Source organism: Homo sapiens, chromosome 12 (genome assembly GCF_000001405.40).
Source record: "Homo sapiens chromosome 12, GRCh38.p14 Primary Assembly".
Taxonomy (NCBI): domain Eukaryota; kingdom Metazoa; phylum Chordata; class Mammalia; order Primates; family Hominidae; genus Homo; species Homo sapiens.
In genome coordinates this window covers 29,431,246-29,450,255 of record NC_000012.12, presented here as the reverse complement: position 1 = coordinate 29,450,255, position 19,010 = coordinate 29,431,246, and the positions used below count along the sequence as shown (strand labels likewise).

The window sequence follows — 19,010 nt, the reverse complement described above, 5'->3', positions numbered from 1 at the left end:
GCAAAAATTTTCTCCCATTCTGTAGGTTGCCTGTTCACTCTGATGAGTTTCTTTTGCTGTACGGAAGCTCTTTAGTTTAATTAGATCCTATTTGTCAATTTTGACTTTTGTTGCCATTGCTTTTGGTGTTTCAGTCATGAAGTCTTTGCCCATGCCTATGTTCTGAATGGTATTGCCTAGGTTTTCTTCTAGGGTTTTTAGGGTTTTAGGTCTTACGTTTAAGTCTTTAATCCATCTTGCGTTAATTTTTGTATAAGATGTAAGGAGGAAGGGGTCCAGTTTCAGTTTTCTGCATATGGCTAGCCAGTTTTCCCAGCACCATTTATTAAATAGGGAATCCTTTCCTCATTGCTTGTTTTTGTCAGGTTTGTCAAAGATCAGATGGTTGTAGATGTGTGGCATTATTTCTGAGGCCTCTGTTCTCTTCCATTGGTCTATATATCTGTTTTGGTACCAGTACCATGCTGTTTTGGTTACTGTAGCCTTGCAGTATAGTTTGAAATCAGGTAGTGTGATGCCTCCAGCTTTGTTCCTTTTGCTTAGGATTGTCTTGGCTATACAGGCTTATTTTTCAAAAGCATTTCTATACACCAATATAACAGCCAAATCATGAGTGAACTCCCATTCACAATTGCTATAAAGATAATAAAATACCTAGGAATACAAGTTACAAGGGATGTGAAGGACCTCTTCAAGGAGAACTACAAACCACTGCTCAAGGAAATGAGAGAGGACACAAACAAGTGGAAAAACATTCCATGGTCATGGATAGAAAGCAACAATATTGTGAAAATGGCCATACTGCCCAAAGTAATTTATAGATTCAATGCTATCCCCATCAAGCTACCATCGGCTTTCTTCACAGAATTAGAAAAAAAAAATCCTTAACATTTTCAAGTACTTTGAATTGAGAAAGCGAATATACTTAAGGTTGAGTGTGTGTGTGTGTGTGTGTGTGTGTGTGTGTGTGTGTGTGTGTAGGGAGGGGGGAAAAAGGCAAGAGGGCTCAACTTCTTCAAACATAGTGGAACCATGCCAGAATGCTGGAAGAATATATATTGTAAAAGAGCAAGTCAGAAGATGGTTAAAAATAGAGCAGGGGAGGAAGGTGAATGAAAAAATAAAGCAAAATACATTAAAGGCTTTTAAAGTGGCAGGATTGAAAAGATTTGGTGAAAACATGCCAGCCCTCATTTTTAATTTCATGTACAGAGAAACCTCTTTTTGTTCAACAGAACAAACTTGCTTCCTCCTGTTTGCACAGGTGTAATGAAAGCTTTTTGGCTTGCAGTAAGGAGGGATGTGGGAGGTGATTGAAATAATTTGGTTAATGGGGAAATCTGGAAAGAAAATAAATTTGTGTATGTCATTGTCCATGTGTGTGGTATATATTTATGCTTGATTCTGAAGTGCATAGAGGTCAGAGAAACTGCTCTGAGGGTGGGGTTGTTTTCTTAGGATAAACTCTGAGAGATTAAATCACTGGGTTAGAAAGCAAAAATGTTTGCTTAAAGAATCTTTCTTTATGATTACAACCTAATTTAGACTACAGTGACACAATTAATTAGCCTAACTGCTTGGCACATTTTCCCCCTAGAATCAGATCACCTCCTCCATCCCCTTTGATTACAACTGCTCCAGGGCTTCTTGCAGCTAGAATAAAATTCACACTCCCTGGAAGACTGCCTCTCCATCAGCTCATGGGTTCCCAATACCTCTCATTCTTACCTCGGGGCCATTGTCTATTCCCAGCACTTTGAAGAGCTCCTTCTCATCCTTGTGCCTCATGTCCTTCAATTCTTGATGGAATGTCACCTTCTTAATGAGACCAACCTTGACTGATGTAAGTTGTATCACGCCCCTGCCTCCAGACTTCTCAGTTCCCTTTTCTTAGAGCACTTATTATCTTCTAACACATGGGTCCCCAACCCCCGGGCCGCAGACCACTACCAACTCATGGCCTGTTAGGAACTAGGCCACACAGCAGGAGGTGAACAACTGGCAAGCATTACCACCTGAGCTCTGCCTCTTGTTAGATCAGTGGCAGCATTAGATTCTCATAGGAATGTGAATTGCACATGCCAAGGATCTAGGATGCCTGCTCCTTATGATAATCTAGTGCCTGATGATCTGAGATGGAACAGTTTTCATCCCAAAACCATCCCTCCCACTGTTTGTGGAAAAATTGTCTCCCACGAAGCCAGGTGCCAAAAAGTTTGAAGTCCAGGGTTAAAAGATTAGAATCTAACACATTATGATTTTTTCATGATTATGGCTTATCTGTGGCTTCCCTATTGAGTATGAGTTTCATGAGAGCTGGAATTTTTGCCTGTTTGTATCAAGAAGCCTCAGTGCCTAGAACAGTGCCCAACACATAGAAGGCACTTCACAAATAAATGAACAAGAGAATAGTCACCTCCTGAAAGAGGGCCTCTCAGTCTAAAGCAGCATCATCCATTCCTTCCCACAGTCATTGTCTATTACATTGGCTTTCATTTCATTAGTAGCTTTGATCTCTCTATGAAACCATCTTCATTTACCTGACTAAAATGAAAGCAGCATCATCCATTCCTTCCCACAGTCATTGTCTGTTACATTGGCTTTCATTTCATCAGTAACTTTGACCTCTCTATGAAACCATCTTCATTTACCTGACTAAAATGAAAGCTTCATGAGAGCAGAGACCTTTCTCTCTGTTCCCTTCTGTATACTTCCAAATGAGGTCAACACCTAGGGACTCGGACCGTTTTCTTTTTCATGAATTTTTGCTGAGTTTGTTTTTTGCATGAAGTTAAATTACTCTTCAGAAAGGCTAACTTAATTTTCACTGCCATTAGCAGTGCCTAGGATCTTCTTTCACCATGCCCAGAACCTAATATGTCAATTTAATAGGCAATTTTCCTTTAAAAATAATCATTAATGGAGATAATTTCTTTTTTGCTTTTATTTTTTTGTTTGTTTGTTTTAAGACTGTGTCTCCCTATTTTGCCCAGGCTGGTCTCAAACTCCTGGGCTCAAAAGATCCTCCTAGTTCAGCCTCCCAAATTCCTGGCATGTGCTACTGTACCCAGCTTGTTTTTTTAAAACTAATTGCCATTATCTTTTGTCCAGTTTTTAAATTTGAGTATTATTCTTTTTATTGCTTTATGAGCTTTATATACAAAGATATTTTCCTTTGTCATGTTTATTCTTAATGCTTATTCTTAATGTTGTTATAAGTTTATTCTTAATGCTTTCCTTTGTCATTTATTCCTAATGCTTATTCTTAGTATTGTCATTTGCTTTTGTGTTGTTTATTATGTTAATGTAAAAATTTTTTAATTTAGTTGTTTAAATGTATCCGTACATGTCTTTGATCTTTGATTTTTAATTCATTGCTTTCATGCTTAAAAATTTATTCCGCATTCTGAGGTCAGAATCTTTAATAAAAAAAAAACTTTAAAAATCATGCTGAAATATATTTTCTCATATGGCAAAGTGACTCTATACCTGCTTCCTTTAAAAGAAAAAAGTCTTTTTCTTCCCAATTGATAGCACTATTTCAATAATATACTATATTATTATACAGAGAGACACATTTTCTGGGGAAACTTGCCTTTATCATTATTACCTATTGAAAACCATGCTTAACTTCATTGTAGATTACCTGAGGAATCCCTATAATTTTCCAACCTAGCATTTCTTTAATTTTTGAAATTGTCAGCTTGAACTTTGTGGAATTGTTCTGTCCCTTCAGATTATATCTAGGATAAGAGCAAGACTGTAATAGAAATATTATTCTTTACTTAAGTTGTATAGCATTCTTTACTATAAAATGCTATATTTCTTCCTGTTAAAGGTAGCAATTCATTTAAAAGTTACATTCACTTCTATTTGCTACAAATAAATATTAGGTCATTCTTCAAATAGTATTTCACCATTGTATACTTTAAAATGCCAACGAATGCTTTTTCTTCTTTTCTCTTTCTTGGCTCTAATCTCCTCCTTCCTTTCATCCCTACAAGTATTTGTGAAGAACCTACTATGGACCACGGACTGAGTCATCTTGGTTCTGAGGATTCAGTAGTGAAAAAAATAAAATTTTCTGCCCTTACCAAGCTTATATTCTAGCAGGGAGAAAACACATAATAAGATAAAATATATGCTATCTTAAATGGAAGAACTAAGGAAGAAAAAATGAAATGGGAAAGGAGAAAAGAAGTATCTGGGATGTCAGTGCCACATAGTTGTATGTAGTACAATCAGCAGGTATCTCTCTGAGCAGGTGACATTTAAATAAATGTTAAAAAATGATACTGAATTATTCTTAGTTTAGAAGAGTTTGATCCTAAGAAACTCACAGGTTCTTTCCACACATGCTTAATCAGCCCTCTGAATCATTTTAGAATTATGATTATAATTTTCCCTTCTATCTTTGACTTAGGTTCTCAAAGCAATCAATAAAAAACTGACTATAGGGAAATAATAAATTTTCAGGTAGGAAATGTTTTCCATCATAGATCTTCATGGTGAGGTATTTTTAATAAGTAGGTTACTTTTCTAGGAGAAAAAGGTCACATCAGTCATTTTAAACATAAAATAATTTGCTACCTACTGTCCTTCAGGAAGCACTGCAACATAGTAGATAATGATGGATATTGGATACATGGACCCAAGTTGAAGATCCTAGCTTCCCACCCGGCTAGTTTGTGGCATTGAGTGAGTCACTTATGTTCTGGAGTCCTGTTTCATCATTTTACAGAATGGAATCAATTCCTACCTCGTGGGTTAAATTAATTGCTCGGCCTAAAATACAGAAACTGCTGTCAAATTTTCATTCTTATTTTTTACTAGAGTTCACTTTTTAACCTAGGTGGATTACATGGAAGAAGACTTTACTCAATGACTTTCATGAGTCCTGGACCGCTGGTGAGGGTGACATTCCATGCCCTTGTACGAGGTGCATTTGGTATAAGCTATATTGTCTTGAAAGTCCTAGGTATGTTTGGTTATTTTATAAACTTGTAAAGGCTAAAGAAATCAATATTACTCTATTTAGGAATATTTCCAAACATATACAACATTTTGAAAGAAATTATGTTTCTGTGGGGAAATGAGTATATGTTTGAAAGGAAAATCTACTTAAGTCACCTAAGATTTGATCAGGTCCAAAAGGGAAACTGCTCAATGGATAACTTGATTGAATTGTATATGATTTCTGAAAATGGCTAAGATATGTTCATTGCAAGATAACTTTTTTCTGTGGTTGCAATTTTATACCACAAAGAATGTTTTCTGTAGCTGTAAATTCTTGTGGCTCAGAAGATTTGGGTTCTAAATCTTAGCTGGCTGATTAGCTCTGGACAATTTATTATCTCTGATTAGAATTTTCTTTTAGTGATGTAATAAAAGATTAGAGTAAGTTTTGAAAACAAACTACACAAATATTAGATTCTAGTATTATAAATGTAAACAATGTAATTCAGAGTTGTCAGATTGAACTTTAGAATATGTAATTAGTGAGATTTTTTTTTATTCTTGATGTAGACAACTGAAAGCTAGTTTCCCCCCTTGGCACCTAAAAGCATTGCTGAGAATATGTTATTCTAGACCTGTGTATACTGTATATTTGGAAAAAGTTAATTAAGTAATAAAGCATTTATATCATATGAAAGTTTTCTCTTGGAAGAATATATTAAGAATACTGCTTTCAGATGGAATTAGGCAGTTAACAGGTATTATCTATAGCTGTGTCCTATAATCTTCCATAGACCCTAGGCTATGTCAGAGATCATCTGAGAGATGTGTTTGTTTCCTATACCTTTTGAATATTTAAGACGGAGAAAATTTTCAGTGAAACCAACCACCTCCTAATAATTACTTGTTTTCCCAGGACAATTAGGGAAGAGAGCTGTTTACCTTGATCTGAAAAGGCATATAGGAAGCCTGTTAAAAATTGGTTTTATTCTCATTTTCTCTGCTTCCTGTTCTTTTAGGTCCAAAGGACAGTAAAATAACCAGACTTTCCCAAAGTTCAAACAGAGAGCACTTGGTCCCTTGTGAGGATGTTCTTCTGACCAAGCCAGAAGGGATCATGCAGATCCCAAGAAATTCTCACAGAACTACTATGGGGTAAGGAAGTCATGATTATTATAATGGAAGAAGTGTGTGGAAAAAATTGCTTGACTGACATCAACACTTGGTACTTGCTTAAAACATTATTCTTCACCTTTTTTCCAAAAAGAATAGACTCTTAGGTAACCCCTAATCTATGGCTTTTAATATGGAAACAAAACAAAACAATATAAGAATGTCCTTGTTTATCAATTGTACTTTCTCAACAAAATAGACCATGTATTAGCAAAGTGAAAAGTCAAATCTTTACAAAGAATGTTGGAGGCTGATATAATGTATGTAAAATATTTGGGTACATAGTAGATACTTAATAAATGATGTGTGGGAGTTTGGGGCAAATTCTGGCACATATAGGTCCTTCAGATCTTATAAATTTTCAATCAGAATTTAAAACAATACACACAATTGGTCAGCCATTCATAATGTATGAACTTTATAAATTTTGGCAAATTACGTATTAGATAATAAAGTTGATATAATTTAAAGTACAAATCTTTCTCTCTCACAACCATAAGGAAACAGACACAAAAAATAAGGCTCACTGGGGGTCAATAACATTGATGCATTAATTTCTGAGCAAAATAACTAACAATATATTCTGTTTAGAAATAATTTCTGACTTTGTTTCATCTATGCCATAGTTGCCAATGGAGATTAGTAGCCCCTTTAAATCACATCATTCAGCTTAATATTATTAACTTCCCGATGAAGCCAACAACTTTTGTCTGTCATGGTCATCTGCGTGTTTACGAAGGATTTGGACCAGGAAAAAAATTAATAGGTAACTGATTTCCCATGAATCTCTATGCTACTGATTTTTCTCTGATGAAACATGTTTAGATTGTTTCATATTCAGTATGTGGCTTACATGTGACATACACTAGTCTCTTCTTATAGGATGTTGAAATAGACTTACTGTTAAACTTGTGTCAGATTTAAAATTAAGATATAAAATCTCCTCAGGTTTAGTTAAAAACAAAGTCCAACAACGTTTCTTACATGGATCATACCTAGATTAAAATTGCTCAGAAATACTAAAAATAAAGAATGAATGAAGCAGTTTTAGACAAAAACACAAGAAAATTAAGACTATAAAATTAATAAGGCAAAATAATCACAGCAAAAGGCATTACATGAGTTTATCAATTGGTAGGAGTTAGAAGCCTGGTTACTTTAATTTAAACTCATTATTTTCTTTTTTTTTGGCACAAATCGTTGTTTTTATTTAATTTGGGAAAAACATCTTTACAAGTTGATAAATACTAGAATTGTCAATGAGAAAAATGCTACTGAAATACCTATTTTTCTCTTTGATGGCAGAATTTCCTAAATATTTGCATTTTAACATATTTTATCTCATACTTTAGCTGACATTACTTAGTTGTATATGGATCTATTCTTAATAAAATAAAGAGAAAAACATAAAGAGAGGAAAAGGATTATTAAATTTGGTATTACAATTGTGTAGAAGTTTCCCCATCATAAAATTTCTTTTTTTTATTTTTTTTTATTTTATTATTATTATACTTCAAGTTTTAGGGTACAAGTGCACAATGTGCAGTTAGTTACATATGTATACATGTGCCATGCTGGTGTGCTGCACCCATTAACTCGTCATTTAGCATTAGGTATATCTCCTAAAGCTATCCCTCCCCCCTCCCCCCACCCCACAACAGTCCACAGAGTGTGATGTTCCCCTTCCTGTGTCCATGTGTTCTCATTGTTCAGTTCCCACCTAAGAGTGAGAATATGCGGTGTTTGGTTTTTTGTTCTTGAGATAGTTTACTGAGAATGATGATTTCCAATTTCATCCATGTCCCTACAAAGGACATGAACTCATCATTTTTTATGGCTGCATAATATTCCATGGTGTATATGTGCCACATTTTCTTGATCCGGTCTATCATTGTTGGACATTTGGCTTGGTTCCAAGTCTTTGCTATTGTGAATAGTGCCGCAATAAACATACGTGTGCATGTGTCTTTGTAGCAGCATGATTTATAGTCCTTTGGGTATATACCCAGTAATGGGATGGCTGGGTCAAATGGTATTTCTAGTTCTAGATCCCTGAGGAATCGCCACACTGACTTCCACAATGGTTGAACTAGTTTACAGTCCCACCAACAGTGTAAAAGTGTTCCTATTTCTCCACATCCTCTCCAGCACCTGTTGTTTCCTGACTTTTTAATGATCGCCATTCTGACTGGTGTGAGATGGTATCTCATTGTGGTTTTGATTTGCATTTCTCTGATGGCCAGTGACGGTGAGCATTTTTTCATGTGTTTTTTGGCTGCATAAATGTCTTCTTTTGAGAAGTGTCTGTTCATGTCCTTTGCCCATTTTTTGATGGGGTTCTTTGTTTTTTTCTTGTAAATTTGTTTGAGTTCATTGTATATTCTGGATATTAGCCCTTTGTCAGATGAGTAGGTTGCGAAAATTTTCTCCCATTTTGTAGGTTGCCTGTTCAATCTGATGTTAGTTTCTTTTGCTGTGCAGAAGCTCTTTAGTTTAATTAGATCCCATTTGTCAATTTTGGCTTTTGTTGCCATTGCTTTTGGTGTTTTAGACATGAAGTCCTTGCCCATGTCTATGTCCTGAATGGTAATGCCTAGGTTTTGTTCTAGGGTTTTTTATGGTTTTAGGTCTAACATGTAAGTCTTTAATCCATCTTGAATTATTTTTTGTATAAGGTGTAAGGAAGGGATCCAGTTTCAGCTTTCTCCATATGGCTAGCCAGTTTTCCCAGCACCATTTATTAAATAGGGAATCCTTTCCCCATTGCTTGTTTTTGTCAGGTTTGTCAAAGATCAGATAGTTGTAGATATGTGGCGTTATTTCTGAGGGCTCTGTTCTGTTCCATTGATCTATATCTCTGTTTTGGTACCAGTGCCATGCTGTTTTGGTTACTGTAGCCTTGTAGTATAGTTTGAAGTCAGGTAGTGTGATGCCTCCAGCTTTGTTCTTTTGGCTTAGGATTGACTTGGCAATGCGGGTTGTCAACCCACAAGGATTTTGGGTGGTCAACCAACATTTCTGGACACCATGGGATATATGGGACTTTGGGAATTATCTCAAATCTTTCTAAGACTCAGTTTCCTCATTTGTGAGAGGAAACACCCCACCACCATGCACACTATGGTCTATGAATTCCCAGTTTACTTAATCAAGGATACCAATGCGTAATGAAGTAAAAGCCCAGAGAAAGAGGATGTATGGCTTTTTGCTGGCCTTTGCCTTCCTAAGAAGGGCCCAGATACAAGTGTCACTCTCCATGCAGGTAGGGTCCTCTCAGAGTGGGTAAAAAATCCAATTGCTAAACTGCTGTCTTTTTTATTCTTCAGATTTACAATACCATCCTAGAAGTAAGTGCATTAAGAATATTTGTGTTTCTATTTAGGAGAATGTTGATGAGCACTGAGCTTTCTTGGTTCCTAAGCCAATTCAGCACCAAGAAGACCACAGCTTCTTGTGGGGAGACTGCAGTATCTATGAAAATGATGTATACTTCTATCTTTCTTGCCCTACAGAACACCTGTTACCATGCACTGCCTCATGAGGTTGTTTTGAGAATTAAATAAGAGAAGGCATGTTAATCAATACTAAGAAACCAAGCTTGCATTTTATTTGGATTAGAAATATCTATTATGATTCCTATTCTTAAAATTGTGCTGCTTGGAGGAGTTTAGACTGTCACCCTATTGCCTCTTCTATGGGTGAAAGGGCACACAAAGATTGGAAAAACAAAGAAATAAAGAAGGGGACAGAGAAGGAAGAGTACATTAGCAATATCAATTATTACTTATAATGTTAATCAACTGTATATCTGTTCTTTACTTAGAATTAATTCATAAAACCTACTGTTTTCTATTTCCTTCTCCCCAAAAGTTTTATGACTCTATTTCAATTTCTCTAAATAAGGTTTACAAGCTCTGGGGTATAGGAAAGGTAAAAAAATATTTCTCTTCTACCCATCTATCCAGAGGAACAAATCCTGTGATCAGAAGTTTAGAACTTATAGCCCAACCTCTGGGTAGGGGAGAGGGACTGGAAATTGACTTAATCAGCAATTGCCAATGATGTGATTGATCATGTCTATGTAATGAAGCCCTCATAAAACCCCAAAAGGAGAGTTCATAAAGTTGGGTTGGTGAACACACGGAGGGTGCTGGGAGGATGGTGTACCCAGAAAGAACATTGAAGCTCTGTGCCCAGTCTCCATATCTTGCCCTATACATCTTTCATTGGACTGTTCCTGAATTATATCCTTTGTAATAAATAGGTAAACACAAGTAAAGTGTTTCCCTGAATTTTGTGAGTTGTTTTAGTAAATTATCAAACCTGAGGAGGGGATCGTGGGAACCTCTGATTTATTGCTGGGCAGTCAGTAGCACATGTGACAACCTGGACTTGCAATTGGCATCTGAAGTGGGGAGTGAGAGCAGTCTTGTGAAACCGAGCTCTTAACCTGTGCAGTCCGTGCTAACCCAAGGTAGATAATGTCAGAATGGAATTGAATTGTAAGATACCCAATTGTTGTGGAGGGAAAAAATCCCATACATCTGGTGTGAGAGGTAAAGTACCGAGAGTAGCAGTAGTTGTAGTAGAGATAGAGATTTTTCCTTTAGTTGGTGTAGAGAAGTTTGTTTTTTGTTTTTTGCTTTTTGTTTTTTGTTTGTTTGTTTGTTTGTTTTTCTCAGACCATCTTAGCTTCATTCGCTGGAACTCTGGCAATGATACTGACAAAAGACATATTAAAAAGAGAAAAACTGAATTTTATTAACACATATATCATGCATATATGGGAAAATTCAGTGGTGAGTAACTCAAAGAGGTGATTAGAACTTGGGCTTATATAACATCTTAACAAAAAGAACAATAAATAAGAGAAGTGACAAAATAAAGGAAAAGGACTTTGAGCTTCTAAAGGCAAAGGACTTTGAGCTTCTAGGGGTGGCATATTGTAGGAAGGTGAATATATTGGGGACAGTTGTAGAAAATAAAAGTTACTTTAGAAAGATTTGTTATGTAGATTCTTCTGGTGCCATCTCTGGGCTGATAAGAGTCGAGATTTGTCTCTAATTAAGAATTGTTCTGCCCTCCTAGTGGAGATAGTGGGAGGGCAGAGAGTTTTTCTTCTGTCTACATTTTATTTTCAATTGCTTTCTGCTGAAAATAACCCTTGTACCAGGATGGTATACTCTCAACCACCTCAGGGTTAAGTCAATGCTTGACCTCAGCAGATTATTTGATGAACATTTGACAGAACCAAATAGGATTTATCCCAAGAACACAAGGAAAATTGAATATTAAAATGTATTATATATTAAGATTTTCTACTGTAAATGAGAAAAAATAGATACAAATTATATAGCAATTGTAATCTTAAAACCATAGCAGTAAAATGTAGAAGATATAATGGAAAAATTACTTCAATTACATTTAGTAATAAAAGCCATACAATAACTAGGAATAACCCTAAAATTTGAGATTTATTATTCAAACTATGAAACTTTATTAAGGTGCCTGTGTGGCACACAAATACATACAAACACACAAAGATTTGCATAGATAAAAGTACCATGTTCCAAAACTGAAAGATATAACTCATATTAATTCAACACAAATTAATTTAAAAATATATTTTCCAACTAAATCCCAATGGAATTTTTTTTTTTCTGGAGGGATGAAGAGGAAATTAACTCCGAAGTTTATCTTGTAAAGTAAATAGCACTAGTTGAAAATCTCTTGGGGAAAGAATGGCCAAATGGTTAAGGTAGAATTGCTCTATCAGATATTAAAGTATACTCTAAAACCATGGTAATTAAAACTATCAGAAGAAACATGTGATTGAAAATAGATTAGAAGGGGCCCTAGAAAATTTAAGACCATTTTATGTGGTTAATTTGGCATTACCACTCAGAAAATGTATAAAATTATTCTTCACATCATACAGTAGCTGATAAAGGAGTTAGTTTACCTAAGGCATTAAAAGTGGAAAATATTGGTAGTTAACCATATGGAGAAGGACTTTCTCATATAAAAGTAGTAGAAGAAAACAAATTAATAAGTTCCTGTGTAATTAAAAACTCTTCTGCATCCACAGAAACAAAACTAAAAAGCAAATACATGGGATTTTCAACTATGCTGAGAAAAGTCTGAAGTAATTAATATAAGAAGTGTTTACAGATCAATAATAGAAAAGCTAAAATCTGTAAAATAAATTTATAGAACCTAGATACCTTTGACTTAGTCTTGATTAAAGTTAAACCAGAGGTCCTGTGCCTTCTGTTTTCCACTTATTTTTCAAAAGAATGACACACTGTTGACCCAAGTGCTTTTGAGAACACAAAACACAGGATTAACCATTAGCCTCTTTTGATAGATAAGAAAGGTTACTGAATATTTACATACCAGTTACTACACAATCTAAATTAAATCTCTTGTTTCTTGTCACAATGAAATTGATCCTCTGGCCATCTCTTTACTAAAGAGGGCAGAGTTTTCCTGTAATCATGGAAAGCATACTAGTTCTTAGGATCCTTGATTTGAAACCTTGAAAACTATGAGTGTTACAGCAAACTACATTTACTAGAATGTTTGTTTCAGAACATATTGTGTATGATCAGTTAAACTTAGAGATAGTTTTGAAGCAAATTATCACCCTTATGATAATTCACCCATGACTATGACCATCTTGATCTACCTCTAGTTAACTCGAGTATAAAACACTGAGGGATTTTCTTTAGAATTAGGGGATTCATAATATGAAAAAATTATTAAGTACAATAAATAAGGGTCTAACCAATTCCATATTACAATTCAGAATCACTGTTGTCCATGACATACCCTACTTTTAAAAATGACAAATTAAGAGGTGAAGCCAGCTGGGCTTCTGGATTGGGTGGGGACTTGGAGAACTTTTCTGTCTAGCTAAAGGATTCTAAACACACCAGTTGGCGTTCTGTGTCTAGCTAAAGGTTTGTAAATGCACCAATCAGCACACTGTGTCTAGCTAAAGGTTTGTAAACGCACCAATGAGCACTCTGTAAAAATGCACCAATCAGCGCTCTGTATCGAGCTAAAGGTTTGTAAATGCACCAATCAGCACTCTGTAAAAACGGACCAGTCAGCACTCTGTAAAATGGACCAATCAGCAGGATGTGGGCGGGGCCAGATAAGGGAATAAAAGCTGGCCACCGGGGCCAGCAGCAGCAACCCGCTTGGGTCCCTTTCCATGCTGTGGAAGCTTTGTTCTTTCGCTCTTCACAATAAATCTTGCTGCTGCTCACTCTTTGGGTCCGCACTACCTCTATGAGCTGTAACACTCACCACGAGGGTCTGCAGCTTCACTCCTGAAGTCAGTGAGACCACAAACCCACCCGGAGGAACAAACAACTCTGGATGCGCCACTTTTAAGAGCTGTAACACTCAACTGTGAAGGTCTGCGGCTTCACTCCTGAAGTCAGCAAGACCATGAACCCACCGGAAGGAAGAAACTCTGGACACATCTGAAGGAACAAACTCTAGACACGCCATCTTTAAGAGCTGTAACACTCGCCGCAAATGTCTGCGGCTTCATTCTTGAAGTCAGCAAGACCAAGAACCCACTAGAAGGAATAAATTCTGGACACAAAATGAGCTGAGTGAGAAATTTATAGACAAATACATAAAAAATATAATATTTGGCCTTTTTAAAACAAATGAGAAAATTTAACTGCTAAATTGACAACAATTTTGAAGAATGATTATACTTGTCAAATGTTATATAACATGTATTTTCATCTCACTGAGGTATAACTTGGAGTATGTTTTCTAGAGAAATATTTTTCAAAACTAAGTTCATAAAGTACTGGGTGTCTCAACTTTTAGCTATACTTATATTATTAAAATAAGCTTTATGTATGTGCAGAGATGTTAACACACTAGATTCATTCAGCATTTTTATAGTGGCCAAAATGGAAAATAGTCTAAATCTTAGTCTAAATAATTAACAAAAATATAATATAAATTATAAATTTATGCAGCCATTAAATAAAATATTGTCACATAATTTTTAAAATAAAACACCTGTCATATTGAGTGAGAAAATCAGGATGAACTATATAATTCAAATTTGTTTAAAAAGTAAATGAAATACAGGTCTAAAAAGATCAATATGTTTAATTGGACATCTTTATAAGATTATGAGTAATTTTTTTTGAAATTCTCTAAATTTTTCCCAGTGAATAAATAAACATTTCTAATTTTAAGGCTATAAATAGGGAAAAGAAGGAGGAAAAATATGTCTTGTTCTACAAGCTGAAATGGATTCATAGTGGAGCAGTTACAGGGAGCTTCATGACAGTATTCAAACCATTTAGCAGCCTGCCTCACAAGAAAGGGAACCAGATGAGATTACATCATCTTCTGAGGGGTGCTTTAGAAATCTTAGGGTAGTGGGAGGTTGAAGGAAACTGCTATTACCAATACCCTTTTTAAGTCACGGGGCCTCCGGGTGCGGTAGCTCATGCCTGTAATCCCAGCACTTTGGGAGGCCGAGGTGGGCGGATCACGGGGTCAGGAGATCAAGACCATCCTGGCTAACACAGTGAAACCCTGTCTCTACTAAAAATACAAAAAATTAGGCGGGCGCCTGTAGTCCCAGCTGCTCGGGAGGCTGAGGCAGGAGAATGGCGTGAACCCAGAAGGAGGAGCTTGTGGTGAGCCGAGATCGCGCCACTGCACTCCAGCCTGGACGACAGAGCGAGACTCCGTCTCAAAAAAAAAGTGGTTTTTAAGAGACAGGTTCTCGCTATGTTGTCTAGGCTCAAGTGCAGTGACTATTCATAGATATGATCGTAGTGTATTCAGCCTTGAACTCCTGGGCTCAAGCAATCCTGTTCCTCAGCCTCCCCAGTAGCTGGGACTACAGGCTCACGCCACGGGTCTGGCTGTTCTAAGAAATACTGTCTAAAATGTTTCATTTTGACCAACTAATGGGTTTGACTTGTGTGGCAATTACTGCAACTTGCCTGTTATAAATTTGGCCACTGTGGATAAATGAAGGTTATATGTAGCTAAAGCTCAAATATACTTGCTAAAAATATTATATTTCAGTTTGGTGACAGCAATAACTTTTTAGTTCCCTGAGGACCCAGTCTTAGACCATGTCACCTTTTCTTACAACATATAGTTTTTAAAAGATGTACCTAAGTTATTCCGACATCATAAGAACTGGGCATTATGTCCTAGTTGATTTAGAACTACTGTCTTAAAACTGCTTAGACTCAGGAATAGGGAACATCCAGCTCTCTATTCTAATTGGCTTTTATTCAGTTATTTTTCCCATTTTTATATTGATATAGCAGAAATTTATAATTTCAAACATAAGAATTTTTTACTTTGCTCAATAATCTTTGTCTTGATGAATAGTAAGGTTTTTTTTTGTTGTTGGGGACAAGGTAAATTATGTGAAAGAGATTCACTTTTATGAAAATCTCTTACGATTTTCACATATAATGTCATTTTGGCCATGAAGAGTTTTCTCTGAGAGACTCTTTTTGTATTTCTGGTAAGTCCATTTTTTCCCTATTTGTTGTTTTTGTTCAATTTCTTGTGCTTCTTTTGTTCCATATGTATGTTTTTGTTCAATTTATTGTGCTTTATTGGGAAAATTTTGTTATCGAATAAGTAAATTAATAGATTGTAATTCTTTGTTTCATTTGTCAGCTTTAGGAAAGGACAAAAATATAATATTTAAAATTCTGACTTCTGTAATCTGTGGAGGCCTCATGCTAAACCTGTATGAAGTACAAGATTGAGCAGATTTTTTTTAACACCTAAGCATACTCTTTATTTTTCTGGATACTTGGAATATTGCGACAATACAGTCAGAAATTTTTATCCCTAGCAAAGAAGTTTCAAGTAGCTTTTCTCTTTTGGAATTCACTTCCTGAATGTACTAATATCAAGAATAATTTGTCCTTTTTTTCTTTACTTGTTTGATTAGTTCATATGTGTTAGTTGTAACCAGATTTTTGAAAGATACGCTTTGTCCGTCATCCTGTGGTTTGAGCAAAGGCACTAATAGCATTATGAAAACGGGTAACTATTGCAAATTATAGAAATCGGATATCATAGAGAAACATTTGCCATTATATTTAATTCTGAATATTTATTAGAATTCCCTCAGTACTTAAGATTAATCCATTCACACTCATTTTTTTTTAATCAGCCAGCAGGCTTTGCTTTACTGCCCATTTTACCTTTTGTTTCTTTTTTTTTTGGACATGTTAATTGAAATACAGTTTGGGAGGCATTTCCATTAAAAACATTTTACTTAATTTTAGTATGATAATGTAAGAAGTGTTGGAAAAAGAAAACAGAAGAAATTTGCATCAAATTTAAGTTATGTAAGTATATCATAAGGGACTAACATAAAATAGAAAAAAATCTCACATTTAAACCGAGAATTATTCAGACCACCAACAAATTGTTGTAGGAATATGCCAGGCACTATTCAAAGAAATGAAGATTGAGCAATGAACAAGACAGTCCCTGCCATAGTAGCACTTACAGTCTAGTAATGGAGATCGTCAATAATCATATAAAAATATATAGTATATTAAGTTACTGTATTAGTCCATTTTCATACTGCTATGAAGAAATACCTGAGACTGGGTAATTTATAAAGAAAAAGAGGGTTAATGGACTCACAGTTCCACACAGCTTGAGAGGCCTCATAATCATGGCGGAAGGTGAAAGAGGAGTAAAGGCACGTCTTATGTGGCAGCAGGCAAGAGAGCGTGTGCTGGGGAACTGCCTTTTATAAAACCATCAGATCTTGTGAGACTTATTCATAATCACGAGAACAACATGGGAAAAGCCCACCCCCATGATTCAATTACCTCCTACCGGGTCCCTCCCCAGACACATGAGGATTATGGAAGCTACAATTCAAGGTGAGATTTGGGTGTGGACACAGCAAAACCATATCAGTTATAAAGAAAAAAATACAGTGTGCAACAAAAATATATAACAGAGGAAGCTTGTTTACTTCGATGGAGGACAGGGAAGGGAATCAAGGAAAACTTGGATTTCTCTTTTTTTTAGCAAGACTCCATGGAAGTTATTTATACTCACTGTCTCCCCTTTTGCCCTCTCGTTTTTCTTGAATTTATCCTCATATGGCTTTATTTTTTTCCTACCATTTCATGGACACTGTTCTTGCTGAAGCTATCAATGACTTCCACAAGTCCAGATTTGGTAGTCCCTTCTCAGTCATGACACAGACGAGCTCTCCCTCCTCAAATCTCACTTGTTTTGGTCTCCAAAAAAGGAGAGCTCACTGGTCTCCTTCAGAGTCTTGGCTGGTTTTTCCTCATTTTCTCTATCACTGTCAGTTGAGGTATCCCAGGACCCAGTCTTTGACTCTCTTCCTTTCTTTACCTATACTCCTTCCTTAGTGATCTCACCCATTCTCTAGCTTTAAATACCATCTATACAGTGATAACTTCCAAATTTATATATCCAGTCCCAGCTTCTTTATTGAACACTAGCACTGTATATCCAAGTGTCTCCCCTTCCACTTGGCTATCTAATAAGAATCTCAAACTTAACATGACCAAAATTGAACCCTTGATTTCCTACCCCTGCCTCCAAGCTCTTCCTCCACCAATCTTTCCCACCTTAGTAGATAGCAACTCCATTTTGCTAATTAATTACTCAGGCCATTAAACTTGGTCCACCTTGATTTCTCACATTCCACATCAAGTATAGCTCATCAGTAGGTCTTTCAGTAAAATAGAGCTAGAATGCTACTACTTCTGAACAATTCCACCATAATATTTTGGTACAGCCTTCCTTTAGCCAGTTTTATGTGTAATAGCCAAAGTGATCATTTTAAAATGAGTAATTGAGATCATGTTTATAATCCAATGTTTTCCTAACTCATTCATAGTAAAAGTCCTTATAGTGCCTACAAGATGCTATAGGATCTGGCTCTTGACTATCCCTTTGATGTCTTCCCCTGCTACTTTTCCCAGTGCTCACTTCATACCCAGCCATGCCAACCTTGCTGCTGTTCCTCAGCAAGCATGCCCTCTGCTATATCCCTGAAACCTATAACTATGCGTGGTAAATAGTACTCAAGAATTGTTTATTTGAATAAAGGTAATGACATTTCAGCTAAGGCAGAGTAGGAGTGGAAAATAAGGAGGTAGCTCCTTAGCTGATGAATGGGTTAACAAACGTGTCTATTTTGCTTAGGCGAATCCTCCTGCCTGAGAGCTAATGTATGAGTAGGGGTTAACTCAGGTAAGAGACTCTTATTACATATATTCATTCTGTTTTTCAGATAAACATAGAAAACCTTTAATGTAGACATGTTTTTCGTGACAGAAGAATTATAATAGATTTATATACCCCATGTGTGAGGTTTATTCAAGATCTGACTCATTTTGTGTTCTTAAGATTGCAGATAAAACACGCTATGAGAAATTATGATATGTCTATGTGAATAAGAAATATAGAGCCATTATAATTTATATGAGGTAGTTAGTAGCATGGAAAAATGGTCACAATAAATTAAATAGGGGGAAAATGTTGTAATGGTATAAAATGGAATACAATTTTTTAAACATATACAGCATAGAAAGACTTTGCAAGATTTACATTAAAACATGAATATTGGTTGCTTAAAGGAGGGACTATAGGAGGATTTTTTTTTTGAGACAGGGTCTTGCTCTGTTCAGGCTGCAGTGCAGTGGTGTGATCATGGTTCACCGCAGCTTCAACCTCCCAGGCTCAAGTGAACCTCCCACCTCAGCCTCCCAAGTAGCTGGGATCACAAGTACACACCACCATACCTGGCTAGCACTTTTGTTTTTTTTGGTAGAGACGAGGTCTTGCTGTTACCC

The 19,010-nt window shown here is 36.0% G+C and overlaps 1 protein-coding gene and 1 long non-coding RNA gene across 11 annotated transcripts in view; one reads left to right on the top strand and one right to left on the bottom strand.

Annotated features, from left to right (window-relative positions):
• Positions 1-19,010, bottom strand: part of OVCH1-AS1 (OVCH1 antisense RNA 1) — a 98,031-nt gene that overhangs the window by 37,069 nt on the left and 41,952 nt on the right. The window lies entirely within an intron of this gene.
• Positions 1-19,010, top strand: part of OVCH1 (ovochymase 1) — a 95,519-nt gene that overhangs the window by 47,431 nt on the left and 29,078 nt on the right. Inside the window, exons 23-26 of one of the 8 annotated variants that reach the window (NM_001353179.2) lie at positions 4,853-4,978; positions 5,976-6,111; positions 6,756-6,895; positions 9,512-10,403. In NM_001353179.2, the coding sequence (NP_001340108.1) occupies positions 4,853-4,978; positions 5,976-6,111; positions 6,756-6,895; positions 9,512-9,522 (413 nt within the window). In that variant the 3' untranslated portion in view covers positions 9,523-10,403. Of the gene's footprint in view, positions 1-1,597; positions 2,932-4,604; positions 4,979-5,975; positions 6,112-6,755; positions 6,896-9,511; positions 10,404-19,010 lie in introns of those variants that run through there. The other 7 variants (XM_024448968.2, XM_011520638.3, XM_047428778.1 and 4 more) reach the window with 7 other exon arrangements.